At 34.3% G+C, this 27,454-nt stretch overlaps 1 protein-coding gene and 1 pseudogene across 10 annotated transcripts in view, besides 1 other annotated feature; one reads left to right on the forward strand and one right to left on the reverse strand.

The window, feature by feature from the left end:
• The window catches only part of KIFAP3 (kinesin associated protein 3), a 163,856-nt gene that overhangs the window by 59,447 nt on the left and 76,955 nt on the right, over positions 1–27,454 (reverse strand). For 9 of the 10 annotated variants that reach the window (XM_024454186.2, NM_001204516.2, NM_014970.4 and 6 more), the window contains 5 exons: positions 11,380–11,480; positions 3,807–3,915; positions 2,495–2,607; positions 1,927–2,092; positions 1,197–1,322 (listed from right to left, as the gene is read on the reverse strand). In XM_024454186.2, coding sequence (XP_024309954.1) covers positions 1,197–1,322; positions 1,927–2,092; positions 2,495–2,607; positions 3,807–3,915; positions 11,380–11,480 — 615 coding nt within the window. Of the gene's footprint in view, positions 1–1,196; positions 1,323–1,926; positions 2,093–2,494; positions 2,608–3,806; positions 3,916–9,183; positions 9,317–11,379; positions 11,481–27,454 lie in introns of those variants that run through there. The other variant, XM_047449537.1, reaches the window with a different exon arrangement.
• Positions 9,300–9,430, forward strand: MRPS10P1 (mitochondrial ribosomal protein S10 pseudogene 1; annotated as a pseudogene).
• Positions 22,437–23,074: an enhancer, noted in NCBI's record as "OCT4-NANOG hESC enhancer chr1:169972353-169972990 (GRCh37/hg19 assembly coordinates)". NCBI's record gives its function as "activates a minimal SCP1, AML or CMV promoter by ChIP-STARR-seq in naive H9 embryonic stem cells {active_cell/tissue: H9 hESC(naive)}" and the evidence as "EXISTENCE:reporter gene assay evidence [ECO:0000049][PMID:30033119]".

Consider the following 27,454-nt stretch of genomic DNA (forward strand, 5'->3'; position numbering starts at 1 on the left):
ATCCAATTCAAACCAACACAAATCTCAACAGAAAGAAGTGATATAGCCGGGCACAGTGGCTCACGCCTGTAATCTCAGCACTTTGGGAGGCCGAGGTGGGCGGATCACCTGAGGTCGGGAGTTCAAGACCAGCCTGACCAACATGGAGAAACCCCATTTCTACTAAAAATACAAAATTAGCTGGGTGTGGTGGCGCATGCCTGTAATCCCAGCTACTCAGGAGGCTGAGGCAGGAGAATCGCTTGAACCCGGGAGGCGGAGGTTGTGGTGAGCCGAGATCATGCCATTGCACTCCAGCCTGGGCAACAAGAGCAAAACTATGTCTCAAAAAGTCAAAACAAAAACAAACAAACAAACAAAAAGAAGTGATATAATACAGTGGTCCTCCCTTATCTGTGGTTTTTCTTTCCATGGTTTTAGTTAACTGCAGTCAACCATGGTCAAAAATATTAAATGAAAAATCCTAGAAATAATTCATAAGTTTTAAATTATGCACAATTCTGAATAGTGTGATGTAATTTCCCACTGTTCCACTCCATCCCATCCAAGACATGAATCATCCCTTTGTCCAGTGTATCCAGGATGTACATGCCACCTGCCCATTAGTCCCTTAGTAGCCATCTCAGTTATCAGGTCCACTAGCATAGTATTGCAATGCTTGTATTCAAGTAACCCTTATTTCATTTAATAATGGCTCCAAAGTATAAGAGTAGTGATGCTAAGCATACTGTTATAATTTTTCTGTTTTATTATTAATTATGGTTGTTAATCTCTTACTGTGCCTAATTTATAAATTAAACTTTATCATTGGTATGTTTAGAAAAAAAAAGTATATATAGGGTTTGATAGTATCTGTAGTTTCAGGCATCTGCTGGGGGTCTTGGAATGTATTCCCCTTGATTAAGTTGTGACTACTATATTGGTTGTTCAAGGTTGGTGAGGAGAGTACTTCTGTAAAATTGGTCCTGAACTGCTTTACAGCAACATTCTTAACTTTGAAAGCTAAAGATCTTTGATATTACTCTATCCAATCCCAGTTAGCAGTATATTTAATTCATTTTTCTTGATTATATAAGTTGCTATGAAACAATTAATGTAATGAGAAAAACAGATTACAGACTCTGCATTTTATATTTAAATATTTAAATCAATAAGCTGTTTAGACATTAACATAAAAATAAATTAAGGTTATTTACCATTTAGCAATTCAATGAGTGCAGGGATTATGCCAGATTTGGCTAGCAATGCAGCACAAGAGTCATCCATGGATACAGTTCCAATCATTATAACCACTTCTAAAACAAGATCATCTTCTGCAGCACCTAGTGAAGTCAAACCATAGAAAGTTTTCACTGAAATGTCCTGATCCAAATTCATTTAGAGTATCAAAATGTAAATACACAGAAAGGATACTGAAAGCTATTAAATCAAGTCATATGAATCCTTGATATGCTATAAATTTGTCCTTTTTCCAAATTTCCATGTTTGCTGATGACAGTTTGTGATAGTGGGGGCAGGGGGCAGTAGAAAAGTGGAAATGAGCCTTTGAGAGTACAACTGAATGACAACATAGACACAGAAAATAAAAGACTCATTTGAATGCCTCAAAGACCTTTGTGCGTGTTTATGTATATGCAGAGGGATGGTATTTGGTAATTTTAAAGAGACAGAATAAAAAAATACCAAAAGACCACAAGAAAGGTAGAATAGGAAATAGAAACTAACATAAGAAAACACACTTTTAGGAAAAAGAGAACATATATGTAAGAGGTGATCCAGTGACTACCTTTCTGGGAGAAGAGAGCTGTGAGAAGAAATGGCTTTTCCTAACATAATAATAGTCACACAATACTGCTCTAGCAGCCTTATCCATAACAGAAAGAAATAACTTAGTGATTATACAAAAGTGAAATACTTAGCACAAACCTGGTTTTAGTTTATCCTTGAGGTATGGAACCAACTTATATTCTTTAAGAACCAATTCCCAGTCTAAGTCTGGAATGGTCAAGTTTGCAAGAGTTCCCAAACATTCAATCACAAACTCCTCTTCTTCATCATTAGAGATCTGGGCTGCAAGGTCCCCAACATAATCCTGAATAAAACATAATTTTAATATAAATTTAAATTATTTTTTATTTAATCTAATAACCCACAGGAATCTAACAATTTAACTCATTGAAAGAAAAAGTAAATATCAAATGTGATTTTCTTGTTTTAATAATCTTGAGCTAAATTGCTAAAGAAGCCTATGGTGAACTGGTTTAAGGCAAGAAGACTGTAGTGGGGTGGAGGGATTAGGGGTAAGGGTCACAAAACAAAAACAACATTGAAACATAGGTTGAGATTTCTAGGTGCTAAACTAACAAAGTTGATAACATAAGAGCAATTTGGATTATAAATTAATATTTGACGAGACCTCAGTAAGAGCTGTATTTCCAAATGTAGCAATTTCAATTCCCAGTCTATTTGAATAGAAAGCCAAAATGATACTTACAATAAACAGATTTTTAGTTGGTCCATCATGCTGAGAAATGTTTCTAATCATTTTCATCAGCAATGGATCCTTAAACTTCAGAGCCCTCTTCATGAGCATCTTCAGCCCATTTCCTGAAACAGAAAAGTCCCCCAATAAAATTAAGGTTAGCTTAAGTTTAATAATTTTTTGTTTAGTTCTCAAAAAAGCCACAACAATTTACATCTAGTAAAATGCATAACTCTTAAGGGTACAATTTGATTAATTTAGATGCAACCCATACCATATATCAACATACAGAGTATTTTCATTCCCTCCAGAAAGTTCACTTGTGCCCCTTCCCAGTCAATCCTGTTTCCCAGATATAATCACTTTTCCTCTTCCCTGTCTCATTTTTAAACATATATAAATTTTGCCTGATATAGAACTTCATATAAATAGAATCATACCATATGTGCTCTTTTGTGCCTACAATATCTACTACAAATGTTAAAAACAAAAATACTTTTGACTCAGAAAAATTGTACTTCTGGGAATTTATCCTAACAATATAAAAATGAAAATGTGTAAAGATTCAGAGAATGGGTAATTACTATAGCACTGTTTGTAACGGAAAATAAGTGGCAATGAACTATATCCATAATAGTGAAGTAAACTATGGCAAAATTCTTTAATAGACAATTTTGCAGTTATTAACAAATATGCTTTATAAAAACACTTAATCACATAAAATATTATTTCAAGATATTACTAATTTTAAAAGAATGTATCATGATATATAGACAATCACATTTTTATTTAAAAATATGCAGAAGTATTACACTAAAATCTTACCTATGATTATCTGTGGATGGTAGGAAATAAAGATTTAAATCTTTTCCTTTTTGCTCATTTGTGCTTTTTATAACAAACACATACTACTTTTCAAATAAGGCAAAAACTATCGGGCAGACTCTGAAACATCATAATGTATGACAGGCTATTCTACAAAGATATTACAGAAATAATCTAATACATTTGTATTTTATTACCTTATATTGTAATAGACTGCTTTGCAAAGAAAAAGTTTCATTTTATCTAGAAAATGTTTTAAAAATCAAATTTCAATTAAGGCTAACTCACCATGGTTTGTAAAATGTTATCAGAAGGTAAGTGTCTGCATTTATGACGTAAGAATATTCTATCTGACCTTTAAGGATTATAGCTATAATGAAGAAATTATTTGAAAACAGGACTTACATAATCATTATAATTCTTAATTCCTTATATCTATTTTCCATCATATACCAAATACCATATGCTAAAAAAGTTACCTACACTCAAAGGCACTGACCTTCACAGATAAGCTGTACATTTCTTTTGTTAGCAGCAAGATTAATGCAGAAAGAAATGAGTTCCAAGTCAATTCGTTCATCTGAACATTCAAACAGCATCTTCATTAACTAGCAAGAAGCACAGGGCACATTTTACTCAAGAAACAAAGACAAAAAACCAAACACAGAAGCAATATTTTTATCATAATGTGTTATCTTAGATTGTACATTGGGCATAATATAATTATTTACATTTCAACACATAAAACTGGCAGGCGTTCACTGTTCAACAACTGGATGAATAAACAGTTAATGAACTCTTAGATGCTCAGCATTAAATATAAACTTCTAAGTACAGTGGAGAATATAAGAGAAATATTAGATAAAACATCTGTCCTTAAATAATTAAACATATTGTTTGGAAGCAGAGCATTCCAAGCAAAGAAAATAGCTTATGCAAAGGTCACAATGCAGGAAAAAACAGTACTCTTTGAAGAATTAAAAGCAAGCAAGCATTGTTGGTGAAAGGGAAACAACAGTTTTAAGAGATAAGAAGGTAAAAACCAGATCATGCAGGGTCTTGAAGTACATGTTAAAGATTTTGGCCTTCGTGCTAAGAAGGATAATGGGAAGCTGCTAAAAGCTTCTAAATAGGAAAGTGTCAGGATAAAATTTGTGTCTCAAAAAGATTTACCCAGTGTAGAAAATAGAATAAAATTGCAAGAAAATATGGGGAACCAGGTAGGATGCTAGAGGAAAAGTCCAAGTGAGAAGATGGGTGTCTGAACTAGGTAGAGATAAAAGGATTGATTAGACATATATTTAGAAAACAGAACCAAAATGGAATGTAGTAACTGACTAGATGTTATGGTTAAAGGAGTGGAGGAGTCAAAGATGACTTCTGGATTTATGCACTGAGAAATGACATACATGGTGCTGCCAACATCTACCGAAAAGGAGAAACTAGGGTAGAAAAAAACTTTAAAGGAAAGATAGTAATTTTGGTTTTAGATATGTTGAGTTTAAGCTGCTTATGTGATAGTCTAGTGCAGGTATTCAGTAGGAAGTCATAAACACAGGCCTGAGTTTAGAAGAAATGTCTGGACTAGAGGTATAATTTTAGGAACTGGCATATATGGTTGAAAACTGAAGCTGCAGGCTAAATCCAATCACTTGGGCATGGGTATAAAATGAGAAAAAAACATTTTTAGTGATAAGAGAAAAAGAAAGAGGGTCTGAAAAACAACAGACAAAAAGGTAAGAAGGAAAAGGTAGGCTACCTATGCCATTTAGCAGTAATCTAGATTTGTCATGGTGAGAAACAGCTGCTATAATAAAGGACAAATGAACAAATTTTATGCTATGTTTTGGAGAAGCTAGTCTTCTATTATTGTCAAATCAGCAAATTAACTTAGTGTATAGTACATAAAGAGAGTTTTTTCTCAGCCCAAATTGTTAACAACAAATAGAAGTTATTCCTAAAATTTATAATATAAAAACTTACTATGTTTTATCTCAGGGCAATACCTTTTTAGAACATGTTGGATTCATGCCTTCATGAATCCAACACAGCGAATAATAAATATTTATTTATTTTAGACCTCTTTCTGTTAAATCTTGTTTTGATTACTGTTAGTTCAAGATGACTTCTGCATTTCAAAAATGATATGTGGTCAATATACAAAAATCAATCACATTTCTATGTGTTAGCAATGAACAGCTGAAAACCAAAATTAAATTTGGTTAAATTAAATTAAATAAAAAACACAATACCACTCAAATTGTTAGGTATAATTCTAAGCAAATACACTGATCTGTATGCTGAAAATTACAAAACACTGTAGCAGGTGAACGGCTGGCATGTATCATATGCTCCCCTTGAGGGCAGATCTTTAACCACAAATATTACCACTGATAGTATCTCTGGGTAAGAATCATTAATACTTAATAATGCCACAGAATAAAAAAAGATTCAAGGGCAAAAGTAAAATAATCTTAATTTACTGGATATATATTTAACAGATTTCACTACCTATCTGCCCAATAAAAATTAAATTACAAATAAAATTGCCAATAAAAATTAAATTACAAATTACCAAAAATGTAGGTGACAATCCTCTAATTAATTGCTATGTTTTCTAAACTGTAATTAAAAACCTACCATAGATTTTTTTCAATCTGAGAATCGGTTACATTGAAGCAATGTTTCAAGCAAAGTATTTATTGCTAACAAAAAGTATTTACTTCAAATCAACCTTTGTAGTATGAAAATTAGCCTTAAACACAGGGCTACAGGTCATTATTTTAGAAGGTAAATTTTCTCTAAAGTAATTTCCATATTAAATTCTACCTAGAAATAAACAATCAGAAACTAGATTTTTAGAAAATAATGCATGGCTCGAAAACTTACTCAACTCCCATTCCCCATATCGAGCTAAATTAGGACTAAATATAAATGGAATGCATAATGATATAGAATTAGTTTTTCATAATAAGAGAGATAAACATTTCAATTTTAATTAAAGCTTTCAAATTTAAAAAAGCAATGTTTAGTTCAAACTCCACATGAAAGAGTATGTCTTTAATTTGATTGCTATGATGGCACTTCAAAAGTAAGTGTAATTGCTGACAACTAGAAAATATTAAAACTAGATTTGTTCTGTTTTAACTATGTCCATTGTCATCTTTTACTAATTTACCAGAAAAGCACTAAAAGGGCTTCAGTCTGTGCGATGAAGAGGCAATAGTGTTCAATCAGACAAGTCCCATATTGAGTATCAGATACCAAAGACCCATGACTGAAATCACTGTGTCTAGACTCTCTGGCACCTGACTTCACTTATTTACCACTGACCAGAGGCCAACCCCCACAGCTCTCTGTATTCACATATAACTCTACCACCCCCATCCCCTACCCAAACATCTTTGAATGATTATACCAGAACTTTGCATGCCTCCGGAATCTCTTCTGACTGGCTACTCCCTAACTCTCCTGTTTGAAGTGATGCTCTGGTTTCTGAACTTCAGCAGATAATGGCAGGCAAGAGCAAAGGGGGCTGTCAGAAAGGACGTTTACCAGCATTCAGCTAAAAAGAAGCATGTAGATCAAAGGGGGCCATATAGGACAACTGTGGTGGAAAACATGTGGATCACTATGAAGATTCTTGCACACTGTTCTAGGATAAAATATTAAATAACACCATGACATCACTACCTAACCATGTACTTTCATTGGCCATTCTATTACCAATAAATACTTTTATAAGCATCTGGATGGCATTTGCACCCATTTAAACAAAACATGCATCTCAGAGGTCTAAATAACAATGAACTGTTAATGTGTACTTTTAACTATTATTAGAATACAACCATTAACTCCCGCTTATCCTCAAGTATGCCTACCTGAAACAATCTACCCACTGAGACCATTAAGATCATGTATAAAGACTTGACCTGGCCCCTAAATTTTACAGAACAGTGATACAATAGGGTAAGAAAATTAGAATACATTGGATAACTAGAGGTAATAAAGTACAAAGGAAGCAAAGCAATATAATATTGGGAGAGATTATGAGACATGTTGTATATATAATCACCCACTCCGGATGCTAAATATTTTCTAAAAGTGAATTCTAATCTAATTATAGGTTTATTCTATAAAACACATATGTGATAGGCAGTACTTAAAATGGACTATAAATGGGTCAAAATGGTGACAAAGATTTTACTAAGAATATCTTACTTTCATATAGTTTACAGTTTATAAAGCTCCTTTAATATATGTAATTAATGAAGATGACTATATTCAATTTTTTTCATCATTGAAATGAATATGAATTACTACTAAGCCACTGCTTTCCTACATTCAAAGTCATGTTATTTGCAATACATGAGGATTTTTACCAAGCAAAAATTAATATGCATAATTACAAACGAACAGAATATTATATTAACTCTAAGATATTCCAACCGGGGTTATGACTTTAGTAAGTAGGTTAATCAGTGGCTGATTAAACTCATGAATGAGTTTAAAGCCTTATTGATATTATATACATTACTTTGAGTAGCCAATACCTCTAAAGGAGTACCTTTTTAATTCCTGAAGGAAACTTGGAAATTTCATTTAATTTCTGACTTGTTTTCCATGATTCTTTTATTTTGCAATTAACTTGGCACTGGGTGGCAATAAAACCACGTCAACTTTTCTCTTTAAATATGTAAAATTTGGCACTATAAGTTAAAAGTTATAGGCTGGATACCACATTAGGAGCAAATATATTGTACAGTATCATTTGGTTTTCTCAAAATACCAGCTCATATAGAAGCTTTGGGATGTTTACAACATAATTGGGTAACATAACCTTATTCTGTTAAGGGCTGAAATTTCAAAAAGAAAAAAATGGGAAAAAGAAAACATCAAAAATCCTTGACCTCCTAAATTTGGGAAATATTGTTCACAAAATACAGATTACACATGTTCTGAAAACTTCATTGCATACATGTTTGATGTTAGAAAACTGTCTGGTAAGAAAATATGCACGGATATTGCTCCTGAAAAGGTATGGGAGCAATTTTCTGTATACACAGTTTTAAATTGCAATAATAACAGTATCTAAAAAGTAATCTAGACAGACTCTTATTTCTGATTCTTTCATTTAAAATAAAATTTTACATTTTATATTTGAGATTATACATTCTAGAAGAATAGGATAACTCCAAATTCAAAATTCTATAAGTAAGTTTCCTATCCTTCTTGGTTTGCATTTATTTATCTTTTATTTAATGCTATTCTCTTTAAAATCTAAATCTGGATAAAGACAGTCAATCTCGGTAAGAATATTATGTTTTTGGCTGCTTTCCAGTTCATATCCTGTGGTCAATGAAGTTCTGACTCTAAATGGAATCGGAAAAGGAACACCCTTTGAAACTGCAAAGCAGAAACCTTTAGAACATATGGAGTGAGACTGTAGTAAATCACCTGTAATCTCACTTTGACTTGGCTACTCTTTTATTGAAAACTTGTTTGACAAAGAGTTTGATTACACTTTGCATTGAGTATAGTCTGACATGCATTATCTCTATAAGACACCTGCCTTGCTAGATAAGATATGCTGTATATTCTTTCAGGGATGTCTATTTCCTATAAACAAGCGTAATTAGTTTATCCCCTGATATAAAAGTCTAAGAAATTACCCTTGAGAGTTTATCAATTTTTTAAATACATGTAAGTGAAATGTTAAAATTCTTGAATAGCAAATCACTTTTAGTACTGTTTTATTTAATTTGGAATGAATGAAAGAACAGTCAATTAGAATTAATAAAAAGTTATGGTCTATTTTTTACTATATATTATTTTTCAAGTAACATGCATTTAATAATTCTTTTTAGACAAGGAATTATGTAGTAGGAGTCAAGAGGAATTACCTTCATAAGTACGATTTGTTCATATTCTTCTAACAAAATTATGGAATTATGCTTTGTTATCATAGTGACTCAGGTTTTGTTTTGTCCATTAATTTCAGACATGAACCTCCAAGGAAAATAGAGCGATTTACTCTTCTCCAATCAGTGCATATTTACAAGAAGCACAGAGTTCAGTATGAAATGAGAACACTTTACAGATGTTTAGAGGTGAGTGTATTTGAGAAATTCTGGCATTTTTGAAATACCAAAAATTCACACTAGCATATAACTTTACTTTAACATTGACTAGATTGACTTCTTTCAGCAAGCCCATGTCTGTTGGTTGTACAGAAGGTAAATATCTTTTAGTGTTTATGGAAGTGTCATGGTAGGAAAAGTAAATGCAAATAAAGCAATCCTTTAGAGTAGTGCATACCTTAACTCAGGAATGCAGATTATGCAAAGATAGCATTGGAATAATTTTGCTCATATTTCAAAAATTCTAGTGAAGTTTTTACACAGAGTATGTTTATTGTATATCATACATCCTACAATTTTTGTTTTAGAAAACTATTTTATAAAAAATAATGTAATATTAAAAATCAGCCCAAATAGTGTTACAATAATCATAATTCAAATTAGTGGAAGGTAGTTTAATAAAGAGTAATGACATAATAGTGATCCTATGAATGTTAATTCCCTAAGAGTAAAATTGTTATGATGTACAGAATCTCTACCCTTATAACATACAGTCCATGTTACAAAAAAAATCAATAAACTCCTTCAAGACATTTAGGACAGATATTTATTTAGGTCTATTTAGACCTAACATATAATACATATCTAGCCACTGAATCATAGCAAAAATCTTTCTTGAGAGCAGTTGTATAAAAATGAAAGAATTTTGATGAAACATTTTCCCATCAGAGAATGCAAAGCAATTAAAACTATTAATATTAACCATAAACAAAATTAAAAGACATGTGACAAACTTAAGCAATATTTGTAACATAAAATTAAAATAGTTATTATATACATTGATCTTATTTGTTAATAATAAAAATATTAACAAATCAGTTAAAAAATTGGGAAGGCCCATTTTGGTGGCTCATACTTGCAATCCCAGCACTTTGGGAGGACAAGCGGGGGAAGATTACTTGAAGCCAGGAGTTTGAGACTATCCTGGGCAAGAAAGCCAGACCCTGTCTGTATAAAAAATAAAAAATAAAAAAATTAACCAGTCATGGTGGTGCACACCTGTAGTCCTAGCTACCCAGGAGGCTGAGGCAGGAGGATTGCTTGAGCCTAGGTATGAAGGCTCCAGTGAGCTATGACTGTACCACTGAACTTTAGCCTGGGCAACAGAGCAAGATCCTGTCTCAAAAAAAAAAAAGGAAGGAAGGAAGGAAAGACTGGCAAGAGATATGAATGATCTGTAACAGAATATGGATAATAAACACAGGAAAAAATGTTCAACCTCACCAATATTCATGGAAATGCAAATAAAAAGAAATAACGAACCACTGCATATTTAGAAGAACAATAATATCCAGTGTTGCTAAAAATTAAATGCTAGCTGGAAATAAAAACTTATGTTTTCTTAGAAGATATTTTGGCCAAAACAAAGACACAAGTGTTTATTATCTTTTGACTTAGCTATCCTACTTTTAAGAATTTAAACTAAAGAAAAATTCAGAGACGTGGGGAAGCATTTACAAATATGATATCTCACATTATTTTCATTTGCTTACATTCATTTTTATGTGATAAATGGGAAAAAATCTAAACATACAATTTAACAATATTTAAATTATGTTACATCCATGTAATAGAATATTATACAATTAAAAATAATTTTTGAAGAATGTTCAGTGACATGAGAGTATAATTATGATATATTAATAAAGCAATATGTAAATATTACATATACCATGTAATCTCAATATATTATTTTTTAAGTATGTAGAGAGAAGTGTACCAAAGTGTTAAATAGTTATCTCTAAGTTTGGGATAATGGAAAGTTATTTTCATTTTTATACAGTTCTGTACTTCCTCAATTTTCTATAATAAATTTGTAGTATTATTAAGAAGAGAACTTTTTTAGAGAGAAAATCTTGACAAATCAAGAGAAAAGAGTAAAAAATATATATATTTGTTAAATGTTTTTCATAAAACACTTAAACCACTTACCTGTGGTATACAGTCAGTGTATGCAAACATTGATTTAAAGCGGTCATCCATGCTTATGTGGTAAAGAACACACATTGCTATTTGTTTGTAGTTGTCATTGCCTAGGAATAAAACATCATGGTGATGATGCTATAAATATATATTTTTTATATAGCACACTCATGTTAATGTACTACAACTTAAACTACTGAATAAAATCTTTATATAAACTTAATCTGAAAAATATTTTGAGCTATCTATTTCAAATCCAAAATTTAGAGCAAGCATATTCATGTTATATGTGAAACATCACTAATTTCCAAGAAAGAATGTCTATTTCCCAAGGTATAGTTTTGAAAAAGAAAATTAACCATAGGAATTAATTATTTTCATGAGTCCAATATAAAAACAATTGGGTCATTAGCCTCCCCATCTTTACTGTTTTATCAAAATATGTGATTAATACATTCATTGACAGTGGTGATGTTTAGATATAGTAAATAAAAAAGCATCTTTCTACAAATCAGAAACTGAAAATATCATCCAAATGATGAAAGAAGTAAAGTAGTAGTTATAACAAAAAAATAAAATATATGACTATAAAATGCTATAGGCTATAACACAGCCGAAATATAGTATGAAGAATGTCTCAGAACTTCTAAGGTAAGATTATTCTGGTTTTATATGCTTTGAAACTGAAAAAAAGTGAATACATATCAAGATTTGAAAAACAAAATGGGACTTTAATATATTATTTAATCCTACCTGCTTTCAGACAGAACATATTTTAAGGACCTACTTACAATCTCAAAGTCAGTGATAAAACTAGAGCCAGAAAAGTTGCCTAACTAAAAATTTTATCCAAAAAACAATATCCTTTTTGAAAATTCTAGGCCATGAGAAATTCTGAAGATATTCCCAAGGTAGTTAGAAATTCTTTAGAGGAAATAAACTGGTATTTTCTTTTCTGTCCTTTTTTTTTTTTTTTTTCAGAGACAGAGTCTCACTCTGTCGCCCAGGCCAGAGTGCAGTGGCACAATCTTGGCTCACTGCAACCTCCACCTCCCAGGTTCAAGGGATTCTCCTGCCTCAACCTCCTGAGTAGCTGGGATTCAGGCGCCCACTACCACACCTGGCTAATTTTTTATTTTTATTTTTAGTAGAGACAGGGTTTCACCATATTGGCCAGGCTGGTCTCGAACTCTTGACCTCATGATCTGCCCACCTTGGCCTCCCTAAGTGCTGGGATTACAGGCGTGAGCCACCGCGCCTGGCCCTAAACTGGTATTTTCACAAGGCCTAGTGTAGAACATGGAAGTTGTTCAGTAAGTATCTGCTGATTGATTCTGTTTTTAATATTTAAATATAAAAGCTGAAGAAATAAACTCATTTAATCAAAGATAGAAATTACTAGTTCTAAAAGGGGTTCAGAATTAGAGACAAAGATTTGAGACAGAAGTATTCAGTTTCCCAGGGTCTAGCAAGCTTCAGGCAGGTGATTTGCTTGTACCCAGAAGGTGAGGCTTGCAGTGAGCCCAGATTGTGCCACTGAACGCCAGCCTGGCCAACATGGAAACCCTGTCTCTACTAAAAATATAAAAATTAGCTGGATGTGGTGGTGTGCACCTGTAATCCCAGGTACTAGGAAGGTTGAGGCAGGAGAATTGCTTGTACCCAGGAGGTGGAGGTTGCAGTGAGCCCAGATCATGCCACTGCACGCCAGCCTGGGCAACAGAGCAAGACTGTCTCAAAAAAAAAGTAAGCAAAAAATACAGTGATCTTCTATCTCTCAAATTTACTTTGAACTTCCTTACCATTTGATATATTTATCTAACATATAACCTCCATGAAAGCAAGGACTTTATTCACTGCATTATCCCCAGATGCAAGAATAGTACCTAGCACAGAGTAGGTATTTAATAATTGTTGATTGGTTAATAATAATTTATTAAACATTTACTATATATCAAGAGCCATGCTAAACAGACTGTATGGCATTGAATCTCAAAACAATCTGTCAAATAGGTCTTATCATCCCTATGTTTCAGATGAGAAATCTACAGTTTAGAGAAAAATAAATACTTGCCACACAGCCTTGTCAGTGGTTGAGTGGGGATTTAACCACAGGTCTCTCTGATTCCCAAATCTTTACCAGGTTATGTTACAATACTACTCTCAAACATTTTTCTTCCTCATTTGATGCCTTTGGTATTCAACATTTTTATATCACAAGGTAAAACTGTTTTCTAAGTAAGACATTATCAGGTATAAAAGACTGATAAACACTGATATATGAGGGAATTAAACATGTTTTAAAAATATACTGCTTTTTAAATCCAGGTTTTAGATTTTGCATCTTGCAAAACTGTTTGGCTAATTCTATTTCCTACTGCTTACAATAGCAGTAAGAACAACTCCTTGGGATAAGATAAAAACAATATATGTTTTTCAGATGAATGGACACTAGTAAGCATTTTCACCTTAAATAAAATCTATAAATTCACTAATTCAACTATTTGGAATACAACATATACAGGAAATACATTTTATTTATATGAAATAATATTTATTTATTTCATCTATTTTTAATTTTTCCCTATGGTATTATTTATAGAAAAATTAAATTTATAGAAAATTTACAGAATAGAGAGTCAAATCATTTAAGGTAAATTTCACATTTCTTCTATTGTTTGAAGAGCTTTACTACAAAATTTATAAAGAAGAGAGAAGCTGAATTAGAGTCAGAGATAGGCTCTAAGGATAATGATTATTGACTAAGGTTAAAATAAAGCTAAGATAAAGTAATGTGGGAGAAAATAATATTTAAAGTTTTTGTTTAGGGGTAAGAATTTTATTTGGCGGGCAGTAGGTAAAAATTGTGAAATCGCTCCAAGTAAGAGAAAAGTGCAGACAAATAAATGTTCTTAACCCCAACAATTTTGTCCTTGAGTTTGGAGCAATCTAAATATGTAAGATTTATCAATTTTAATGTTAGATTTTAACAGACCACATTTTTATACTGTTGAAGGCACCAATTTATACTTATTCTAGTATAAAGCACATTTGCCATAGCAAAACTTAACGTTTGAACAGGTTCTCGTGATACGTAGGTTAAACATGAAAAATTCCAACTTTATTCCCCAAGAAGGTAGGAATCCCTTAGTCTTGGTCTGACTGTATTTTACATTATTTTTTTTCCCCCGGAAATTGAGATATTTGAAAATCTTTTCAAACAGAGTTTTAAAGCAAACTCATATTCTGAAGGAAAGTTTCTCTTTCCCTGTGATTCTAGTTATTTTCTATCTGTCATTCAGCTGTGGATAAGTCCTAGTCTTACTTAATTTTTAAAAAATATTTGAAGATATTTTCTCTAGTAATGGATTCACTGAAAAGTAGGATTCCAAGTAATACAACTTATTAAATGGTAAAAGAAACAAAGAGAAATCAATAACCAATATAAAAGATTCTTCAACAACAAAGTAAATAATCAAACATTAAAATTCAATGTGAGGCTAGGAATGAAACAGGAAGCTATTCTATACTCTAGGAGAATCTGTCTGCTGCTCATGTCAATGAAAAAATTCTAAAAAGCAATGTCCTGAGGTGGCACATCATTCAGGTAAGGTGAGAGGAAGGAAAGACTCACCTTTAAAACATAGGTACTACATTAAAAGAACAAGAAATTCCTGAACATTGGGAGAAGCTAAAAAAATTAAAATAAATAAAAGAATAACAAGGGAAATTCTCTAATTAATTTTATATACATGTATGTATACATATAGCTTGTGTGTGTGTGTGTAGCTTCCAAAGGCAAACTCAGGATAAAGGGTATCTGTTAGAACAGAAAGTACAGAGAAGAGTCCAAAAATTATAATAATTTCTACTGGCAGATGAATAATATAGATAAGAAGCAGTTCTCAGATATAACAATTTATATTAATTTTATATAGTGAAACTAAACGTCTAATTTCCAAAAGTAGGATGATTCATTTTGCAGCCAGTCCTAATTCTGCTCTTATGTACTTTCTCATTTTCCTTTTCTCTTCACACTTATGGTCAAAGGTGAAAGTTCCTTGCAGTTCTCCCACACCTTCCTGCTTTAACAGAGGATCTGTGATCCTCTATTAAAAAAACTCTGAATACGTTTCCAATTTCCTATAATATTCATCTAAAATGATCATCATATCCAAAAGTTTGCTAAAAACTAAAGGACTGAAGTTAAGAGAAGCTCTAGGGACACAAGGCTATGGACAACTAATCTTTCTTATACCACAATTCTCTGAGAGAAGGTTAAAGAGAATGGGTTAAACAAACAATGGTATTGTTCCTATTGCATGTTCAACATAGTTTTTCTCATTTAGACCTTACAGTAATTAAAGGGGTAGGTATTATCTTTGATTCAGAGATGAGGCAATGACATTCACTAAGGCTATGACCCTTTCAAAAGGAAACACAGATGTGAATCTGGGATTCAAACCTAGGTCTGACTATAAAGCTCATGCATGTACTTTTAACCAAGCCTTCCAGGAGGCAGCAGAGGGAGTGAAATCAATAATGCCAAATAAATGTAAGTTATCATCATCATTCCTTAGGGCGAAGTACAGGAAGGAGATGCATCTAGAGGGACTCTGTACGATCTGCTGGACCTGGGACTCATGGGGAAAAGGGTGAGAAGATTGGCAGTGGTGAAGAGAAGACATGAAATGGAGAAATGCAATCAGATATTTCTCAGAGGACCTGTGCCCAGATATAGCAGGTTCCAATGGATGAAAGAATTTCCTGATGGGGCAAACTGCATTATCCCCCAAGCAGTTTTGAGGACTAGACCTACAGCAGCCTAAGTTCTGAAACTCATTCTCACTAAATTGGACAATAACTGCATCGATCTGTGATTTTATGAGAAAAACAAGGTGCTAGAAGCTTAAAACATAGGTAGACTGATAAAAGCAATACTCTAACATTGGCTGACAGCTCAGGCTCTGGAGGCAGAATGCTCGGGTTCAATCTGTGGCTCTTCCACTCATTAGCTATACAGTCTTGTGAATGTTATTTAAATTCTGTGTTTCAGTTTCATCATCTGTAAAAATGGGATAATAACTGTACCTACCTGAAAAGGTTGTTGTGTGAGGATGAGATGAGAGAATCCTGGTAAAGCAATTAGCACTAAGTTTGACATACAATAAATCAATTCAATAAATATCATTTCTTATTATTATGTTGACAATAACATTTTTTCTGTTTTACTAATACAACAGTACTATCATGTGTTCCTAATATATATGATGCTTTGTGTTTTTTATCCTCAAGACTTGAACTGTAGTTAGAAGTAAAGTAAGTTGGAGAGGCAGCCGAGATTTCTGAGATAAGCTAGACACAGTTCAGAGGTATACTCTGAGCCTATGGCCGAGCCACTTACCTTTCTACCTAGTCATTTTCCTATAAAGCTCTGCTGTTTGGCCGGACACAGAGGTTCATGCCTGTAATCTTAGCACTTTGGGAGGCTGAGGCATGTGGATTACCTGAGGTCAGGAGTTCAAGACCAGCCTGGCCACCATGATGAAACCCTGTCTCTACTAAAACATAAAAATTTGCCAGGCATGATGGCAGGTGCCTATAATCCCAGCTACTCAGGAAGCTGAGATGTGAGAATCACTTGAATCTGGGAGATGGTGGTTGCAGTGAGCCGAGATCGTACCACTCCACTCCAGCCTGGGCAGCTGAGTGAGACGTCTCAAAAAAAAAAAAAAAAGAAAAAAAAAAGGATAAAAAAAAAAAAACTCTGCTGTTCATAAAATTTAGGCTTAGGAGAATCATCTTATACCTGAGGCTCTACTCAGTGACCCATATGTAATAAGAACCCATCATCATTCTCTCACTCTCATAGAGTTATAAATCCCTTAATGGAAAAAAAAAAAAACTTTAGTAAAGAAAATGATCCCCTCTCAATACCCCCCTCCACACACATTCAGAAATCTCTTATCCTTTCAGGTTTCCTTCTTTTAACAGAACTTACTTTCACTCTTAAAGTGGGGAACAGTCATGGAGATGATGGGCTATCAAGCAGACGAAAGAACAGACAGAAGTCTGAGGACACTGAAGAGAAACCTCACAATTAGCTACCCTGTTTCATTTACCTTTAAACAGCATGTCCCAGGCAAATAAAACCTATATGACAGAGGTGTTTTCCCCATGTTTTAGCTGAACACAACTGAACAAAAGAAATCGGACTACAACTAGTGCTTCACCAGATATATATATATATATATACACACACACACACACACACACACACACACACACACACCACACACACTTTTTTTTTTTCTTGAGGAAACAGTGTGAAAGGAGGTGATGACAGAGCTAAGGGACTATAATATTCTAACCCAAGTTGCTAATGTGTCTTCTGGATTTTATGTGAGTAAAGTTTCCCCTAGAATTTAAACAACTGATTTACAAATAACTATAAATTTAATTCCCCCCCTTTTTGTAATTAGGGAATGAAAAAGATATAAACTGGCATTTGGCCTTTTATTCAGAAAAATACGTAAATATTTTATAAACGGTCTTGTTACCCACATATTATCTTGATGATTCTAGTTCTATCCTACAGTTACAAATCACATATTTTCTTTCTCTTCTAAATAATTTCAATATATGAAGACTACAGTATATAAACCATATGTATCTTATTCACTGAATCATAAATGATTACATAAATAATCAATACTTAATAAAAATGCAGCCTATAACTTCACGGCATCTAGCAGATATCTGGAACCTACAACAAAAAGACAAGGCATTTTAGAACAAAATTGAGTACGTGGAGGGGGAAGATGTCTGGCAATAACCTGAATTCATCTATTCAAACACAGGTCTGCAAAGAAAGTAAAGACTCTTTGGCAGCCAACATTTAATATTACGACTTAAAGGCTAATTTGCAGATCACATAGCAATAAACAGCTATTAGAGAGATTAAATGGTCTAAGTAAAATAAAGAGCTTATCTTTTATTGTAAACTAATAGTCTTCTTCATTCACTGAAAGAAAGAACATCTGAGTTCTTACAAAATAAAGCTCAAGAAAAAAAATCTTATATACCCTAAGTGAATTCCTACAAGAAATGAGGATTGGAGGGTATGATTTTCTCGTAAGAATTCATGACTAGAAGCCATAAACTGTAGCTAACCGGCTATGATTCCTCTACATCCTACAAATGGTAGACATTTCAAAAAGGCTCCTTTAAGACATAAAGACATCAATTATTCCCTAACGGCATCCCAAGTAAAAACAGGCTGCCAACAGTCAGCATGCTGGCACAGCACCAAAGACTGTGAATTTTAAGCAAGGGCAGTGAAAAGACTGAGTATCTTGAGAACTAGGTTCTTAATGACTGGAGGTGGATTAGTTAAATCTGTTCAAGTAATAAGGGCAGGGTAGAAAAAAAATGGCCTAGTCATTATGATTCCTTTGGTATTTATGGTAATAAACATGAATCATGATGAACTCACTGGCTATTAAACGCAGAGGTCATAAGTACTTCGATAGGATTTCCACAGGAATTCACCGTTAATTAGCTGGATCATTATTTGAAAGTGTTACTGAATTATCTTAGCATTTGTGCAGCCATTCCCCTCAAATTGGTCATTCCCAGCTGAGGGCAGTTAATGCCTTAACAAACTGGTCATTAACTCCAGTAACTGATTTTGTGGGAATTATTGCACTTATAAAGTACATTCAAGAGTTTATAAGAAACATTGCATCTTTTTTTCTTTTTAAAGAAATTTACAGCTGTAGTTCAGCTGGAGCAGCTGAAGGAGAAAAAACTATCAGCTCTCTGGGCTGCTCTCACAATCGATTTTCTGCCAATTAAAGGGCAAAACACATGCTGATGGGTTTTGAATTTTAAAATGTCTTCAGTTTTTTCATCTGTGAAGTGATCAGTAAAAACACCATTCAATTACTAATTTTGTAAGACACTTGGGATTTTTCATTCACAGTTCAGTCAAGCAGAAATACGAGTTCTGAACATGAGAACTCAAAAGCCAAATTTCCGCTTCTGCAGTAGATCCAGCCCAACACTGTGAAAACAAAGTGAGAACACAAGTTATGGGCCACATTATTAGCCAGATTCTCATTCCCTTCTATACTCTATGTCTTCTTCTTTCAAAGTGGAACACTCCCTTTGATGTCACAGAGGCTCCATGAAAAGATAATAGAAGTGGGAATATAAGCACACCTATATTAGGATAGAATAGCATTAAGGTGATATATTACCCCTGGAAAGTCTATATGAATACAACGTGCTTCAAAATTTGCAGGTGTCTTTACATTTATTACGGAGTGAGAGCCCCTAAAGTTCTATCAATACAGTGAAAATGCCACAGGTGAAAACCACCACTTAAAAGATAATTGCAACAATTATTGAACATGTTAACTACACACTGACATAGACTAAAAACACATTGAAGCTATATCAGAACATCTTTGATACATGTTTCCATATAATTTTATGCTTAACTTATTAGAGCATATACTGCAGATATATACTCAATATAAACAGATAGCCTTAGTTTAAACTTGAATTTGCACAGACCAATGTTTAAGACTGTAACTACATTGGATGATCTCTTTTATAATATATTTGTCTATAGTCGAGATTTGAGATGAACAGATAAAAACCAACAGTTGTTAACCAACAGTTAAGGGGAAAAAATAACATAATTTATAGGTTACAAAGATCAGTATGAAAACATTAAGTACAACAATAGTTTCTGAGGTACAGTGGTTCACGGATAAGTAATTTTTTATGTCCAATTATTTAATTTTAAAAGTATGAGAAACTAACATTGCAGATCTACCAGTAAGCTAAACATTGTTTTTAGAGATAGTCACTAAATGAGTACTCTTATATAGAACATTTTTGATAGATTTTCATTTGTTTTAGTATGTACAACTGTACATTTTGCCACACAGCTTATTTTTCATCATATCTTCAATTATTTTATTATGTCTTCTGTAGAATTTTTATTACATCCATAGAATACAAGTTATTTGCAATAAGATCTAAAGAATACACATACTTGTGGTACAAATGATAAGGATCAAAATAAAGCCCTTAACAATGACTGCTTTCTAGCCTGTATGTCCAAATCATTGACTTAATATGCTTTGGCCAAATTTTACCATCTAGAAATGGAGACACCCTAGGCAATATTCACACACACACAGTATTGGAACCAGCTGGTGACAGAAGAATCTTAAGAAAAAAGGCTTCTTGATTTAATTGGGAAAACAGGAGGAAGCATAAATTTTACTGCCATTAATAACTTCAAGCAATCTTGATATGAGTCTACCTCACCCTGACGGCGAGACATGTGCTTTCTGTTAAACTGTTTGCCACTTCTGACCCCTATTGTTTGCTCACTTGATCAGGTAAGAAAATGTAGGTTTATTTATAGGATAAATGAGGCCTATTAAAATTGAGAAACAGTGTAGTAGTCTATGAGGAGTTGTGTTCTGAAACAGATGTGTGAAATTCCATAACAGTTCGGTAATAAACAGAACAACCAAACCAATTTATTTTTTAAAAAATCTACTTTAAGTTTCTTAAAGAAACTATCATAAAGGCAACCTAGTTTCAAAAAAATGGAAAACACTTCATTTTGCTTGGAAATCATTATTCTGACCATTTCCAAACAGTTTTTAATAAGTCAGAAAAGGCAAAATGTTGCTTTCTTCACAAAATAAAGTTTCATTTTTTCATTCTTTATGATGCTGTTGGTAAATTAAAAGTTAGATCATATTAATATAAAGTAAATAAGTGAATTTAAAATTGTGGAAAAATTTCAAAGGTGTTCAGAAGTTAACTTTGTCAATTTTCTTTTAAAGACATATGACAGAATGGTCAAAGGAAATAACCCTTAGTTTTTATATGATCAAAGTTTAGAGTTCAACAGTATCTGCTCTGGTGATCTCCAAAAATAAGGGAAATCAGACTTGTCTAAACCGGAAGAAATCAAACATTTGTCACTTAACTCTTGACCTGGTCTGACTCCTTACATGCTGATGAAACTGTTCTACAGCTCTGTAAAATGCCCCAAACCCATATTACCTAAATGTAATCTAGACAAAAATGAATCAGGTGCCATTCTTACTCTCAAAATCAATTTTGGGTCTACTCACAGAATAGAGAAACATTTATATCAATATGGAACACCTTAGAAACTCTAATTTGTCTTCCAATGAAGACAATATGGTCTAACATTACTGACTAAAAATTAGACCTTTTGAAATTATTCACATAAAATTGTGAAACAGGCCTGATGTGCTATTGAATTTAGGAGTCCCAATTTTCCTGTCATAACCAATAACATTAGTTTCTGCACAAGCCAGCCATGCAAACTGGCACAGATTTAAAACTCTTAAAGTTAGAAGAATCAAAATTTACACAGGTAGAACTCAGAATCAAAATTTAAATGATGGCTCAAACCTTCATACTAGTAGCTTTCAGTGCCATACGTTTATCACTGACCAGGGTGGCTCTGCTGATTAAAAGATAACTTTAAGAAATATGTCAGAGCTATTAACTTTTTTAGTTAATTTGCATAGGTTTATAAATTATATATGAAAATGCTTAACACAAGTACACCAGATGAATATTCACTTATTCTAAGTATAGAAAAGCTTAGCAACATCTATTGGTAACACTACTAATTCCTCAGTTTTTAAGGATGAGAAACATTCTCATCTCTGCTTATAAATGAGCTAAGGAGGTATCCCAAGGCAGGGTAATTCTGTGATACTGGGTTCTAATTATATGGACTTCTGAATACGTTTAAAGAACAGTTTACTAACCTAGGATTAAGACTGCCATTTCATCTATTTGAACAGTGGTTCTCAAACTATCTGTGGTGGTGAGCCAGGTTTTTTCATTTCTTCCCCTAACATTTTTATTAAAGTACAATAAAAATGAAATTAAACAAAAGATATATAAAATAGAAGATGCAAATTTTTATTATTACATTCAGCAGACAAAATCTTATTCAGTCAAACTGCTATATGTGTCTAAGTGCTTACTTTCAATTTTTGGACTTACTCATTATAGACCAGTAACAACCAATAACAAATAGACCAAGTATTGCTCTGTGGACCATACTTTGAGTATCACTGTATTAGAAGATTCCTGCCCTGAATTCACTGATACATGAGAAAGCTATAAAATATAAGTGAAATTAAGGTGCTATTTCAATGTTTAAAACAAACCCTCTATAACAAATCCTCCCGGCCGTGTGAGGTGTCAGTCCACACCTACTGGGGGGTGCCTCCCAGTTAGGCTACTCGGGAGTCAGGGACGCACTTGAGGAGGCAGTCTGCCCGTTCTCAGATCTCAAGCTGCCTGCTGGGAGAACCACTAATCTCTTCAAAGCTGTCAGACAGGGACATCTAAGTCTGCAGAGGTTACTGCTGCCTTTTGTCTGTTTGTGCCCTGCCCCCAGAGGTGGAGCCTACAGAGGCAGGCAGGCAGGCTTCCTTCAGCTGTGGTGGGCTCCACCCAGTTCGAGCTTGATGGGACGTATTCAAAATAATAAGAGCTATCTATGACAAAACCACAGCCAATATCATACTGAATGGACAAAAACTGGAAGCATTCCCTTTGAAAACTGGCACAAGACAGGGATGCCCTCTCTTACCACTCCAATTCAATGTAGTGTTGGAAGTTCTGGCCAGGGCAATCAGGCAGGAGAAGGAAATAAAGGGCATTCAATTAGGAAAAGAGGAAGTCAAATTGTCCCTGTTTGCAGATGACATGATTGTATATCTAGAAAACCCCATTGTCTCAGCCCAAAATCTCCTTAAGCTGATAAGCAACTTCAGCAAAGTCTCAGGATACAAAATCAATGTGCAAAAATCACAAGCATTCTTATACACCAATAACAGACAGAGAGCCAAATCATGAGTGAACTCCCATTCACAATTGCTTCAAAGAGAATAAAATACCTAGGAATGCAATTTACAAGGGATGTGAAGGACCTCTTCAAGGAGAACTACAAACCACTGCTCAGTGAAATAAAAGAGGATACAAACAAATGGAAGAACATTCCATGCTCATGGGTAGGAAGAATAAATATTGTGAAAATGGCCATACTGCCCAAGGTAATTTATAGATTCAATGCCATCGCCATCAAGCTACCAATGACTTTCTTCACAGAATTGGAAAAAACTACTTTAAAGTTCATATGGAGCCAAAAAAGACCCCGCATTGCCAAGTCAATCCTAAGCCAAAAGAACAACGCTGGAGGCATCATGCTACCTGACTTCAAACTATACTACAAGGCTACAGTAACGAAAACAGCATGGTACTGGTACCAAAACAGAGATATAGACCAATGGAACAGAACAGAGCTCTCAGAAATAATGCCGCATATCTACAACTATCTGATCTTTGACAAACCTGAGAAAAACAAGCAATGGGGAAAGGATTCCCTATTTAATAAATGGTGCTGGGAAAACTGGTTAGCCATATGTAGAAAGCTGAAACTGGATCCCTTCCTTACACCTTATACAAAAATTAATTCAAGATGGATTAAAGACTTAAATGTTAGACCTAAAACCATAAAAACCCTAGAAGAAAACCTAGGCAATACCATTCAGGACATAGGCATGGGCAAGGACTTCATGTCTAAAACACCAAAAGCAATGGCAACAAAAGCCAAAATTGACAAATGGGATCTAATTAAACTAAAGAACTTCTGCACAGCAAAAGAAACTACCATCAGAGTGAACAGGCAACCTACAGAATGGGAGAAAATTTTCGCAACCTACTCATCTGACAAAGGGCTAATATCCAGAATCTACAATGAACCCAAACAAATTTACAAGAAAAAAACAAACAACCCCATCAAAAAGTGGGCAAAGGATATGAACAGACACTTCTCAAAAGAAGACATTTATGCAGCCAAAAAACACATGAAAAAATGCTCATCATCACTGGCCATCAGAGAAATGCAAATCAAAACCACAATGAGATACCATCTCACACCAGTTAGAATGGCGATCATTAAAAAGTCAGGAAACAACAGGTGCTGGAGAGGATGTGGAGAAATAGGAACACTTTACACTGTTGGTGGGACTGTAAACTAGTTCAACCATTGTGGAAGACAGTCTGGTGATTCCTCAGGGATCTAGAACTAGAAATACCATTTGACCCAGCCATCCCATTACAGGGTATATACCCAAAGGATTATAAATCATGCTGCTATAAAGACACATGCACATGTATGTTTATTGCGGCACTATTCACAATAGCAAAGACTTGGAACCAACCCAGATGTCCAACAATGATAGACTGGATTAAGAAAATGTGGCACATATACACCATGGAACACTATGCAGCCATAAAAAATGATGAGTTCATGTCCTTTGCAGGGACATGGATGAAGCTGGAAACCATCATTCTCACCAAACTATCGCAAGTACAAAAAACCAAAGACTGCATGTTCTCACTCATAGGTGGGAATTGAACAATGAGAACACATGGACACAGGAAGGGGAACATCACACACCGGGAACTGTTGTGGGGTGGGGGGAGGGGGGAGGGATAGCATTAGGAGATATACCTAATGCTAAATGACGAGTTAATGGGTGCAGCACACCAACATGGCACATGTATACATATGTAACAAACCTGCACGTTGTGCACATGTACCCTAAAACTTAAAGTACAATAATAATAAAATTAAAAAAAAAACCCTGTATACCCAGGTCTAGAAATACTCAAAACTGTGAAGAAAACTGTTTTCTGTGTCCCTGATCTCTCATTTGGCAACCATTAGCCCCCTCGAGTCTTTCCCTTCCTTTTCTCCCTCCTTATCATGACTAACATTTGTATACGACTTTCTAGTTATCAAGAAAATATATGTTTATTCTCTCATCTGATTCTCAGAACAAACCTATTTTATCAGAATAGGACCTATTTTATCCCCTAACTTTCTAAATAAGACGAAAGGTTCAGTGAAGATCAACTGACTTGCCTAAAGTCACTCAGGTAATAAAGGGCAAAGGGAAGACTCAAGCTCAGCTCCTTTGATGTTCCTTCCTTTCATGTGTTCCTTTCATCCTTTCATGCATTCATCCCTCTAACCACCCACCAAATATTTATTGAGAACATACAATGTGCTAGACATTGTTCTAGGTATTAGGAGTAAAGAAGTGAAGTAAAGAAGTGCCATGCTAATGGTGGTTCAATATTATTCATCTGCCTCTTCCTACACATTGGCTGAGACTGATGGAACTCCATATTGTCATAGAGCTTATGTTGCTGGGGCCTGGAGGGTGGATAGGGGAGGTGGGTGGTGCACAGGTAGTAAACAAGATGATTACATGGAATTTATATCCAATGATGATTAAGTACTATGGGGTAGCAGCTATATTTTGAAGATAGAGCTGACTGGATTCCTAAGAGTTTGGATAAAGCACAGGAGGGAAAGAGAAGGGCTGAGGATAACTCTGCCAGTTTTGGTCCAGTTAACTAAAAGATGAAGTTACCATTTACTGACATGAGAAAGACAGTGAAAATAGTAAATTGAGGTGAGGGTAGGGCAGAGATCGGGAGCTTAATTTTGAACCTGTTAAATCTCAGATGCTAATAAGGCATCCAAGGAGTAATATCTGGACCAACAAAATCAGGGAGGAGGCTGAGATTATTTCTATTGCTATTTAGAAGACATCCGTATAGGCAGAGTATTTAAATGGAATGAATGAAGTCAGCAAAGTAGTAAGCATAGATAAAGTCCAAGGACTAAGCCCTGGGGGCATTCTAATGCTTAGAAATTGTAAAGAAGAGGTGGAAGCAGAAAAGGAGACTGAGAACGACTGGATATTTAGGAGGAAAGCTATTAAGAGTACTGAGTCCTGGAAAACCAATGGAAAAAGTTAAAGAAGGAGGGAACTGTAACAAATACTGCTCATAGGTTGAGTAATATGAGTACTAGGAATTGACCATTGGCTTTGGCAATGTGCAGGTCACTGGAACTTGACCAGAGTAGTGTGATGGGGTGTTTGTGTGGGAGGTGAAGGGTGGGAGTGACAGCCTGATTGGAAAAGATTCAGTAGTGTGTAAAACAATGAGGGGAGGGGACAGAAAGAGGAGAGAATAGAAGGAAGTGGGAAGAGGGAGACAGAGAGGGAGATGGGCAGATAGGGAAAGAGAAACAGAAAGAGATAAAGAATAGGGAGAGAGGGCATATTAATATATATGAAAGGGAAGAGGGAAAATGAAGACAGGAAATGAAGATAACTCTTTTGAGGAGAGTTGAAATGGGAAGAAAAGAAATAACATGGTAACTAGAAGGTAAAAGAAGTGACAGTGAAAAATAATCTATTTTACAATTGCTACGAAGAGAATAAGACATCTAGGTATACAACTTAAAAGGGATGTGAAGGACCTCTTCAAGGAGAACTACAAACCACTGCTCAACGAAATAAGAGAGGGCACAAACAAATGGAAAAACATTCCACGCTCATGGATAGAAGAATCAATATTGTGAAAATGGCCATACTACCCAAAGTAATTTATAGATTCAATGCTACCCCATCAAGCTACCAATGAGTTTCTTCACAGAATTAGAAAAAAACTACATTAAATTTCATATGGAACCAAAAAAGAGCCCATATAGCCAAGACAATCCTAAGCAAAAAGAACAAAGCTAGAGGCATCACACTACCTGACTTCAAACTATACTACAAGGCTACAGTAACCAAAACAGCATGGTACTCGTACCAAAACAGATATATAGACCAATGGAAGAGAACAGAGGCCTCAGAAATAATGCCAAACATCTACAACCATCTGATCTTTGACAAACCTGACAAAAACATACAATGGGGAAAGGATTCCCTATTTAATAAATGGTGTTGGGAAAACTGGCTAGCCATATGCAGAAAACTACAACTGGACCCCTTCCTTACACCTTATACAAATATTAACTCAAGATGGATTAAAGACTTAAACGTAAGACCTAAAACCATAAAAACTCTAGAACAATACCTAGGCAATACCGTTCAGGACATAGACATGGGCAAAGACTTTATGACTAAAA

Source organism: Homo sapiens, chromosome 1, assembly GCF_000001405.40.
Source record: "Homo sapiens chromosome 1, GRCh38.p14 Primary Assembly".
NCBI classification, from domain to species: Eukaryota; Metazoa; Chordata; class Mammalia; order Primates; family Hominidae; genus Homo; species Homo sapiens.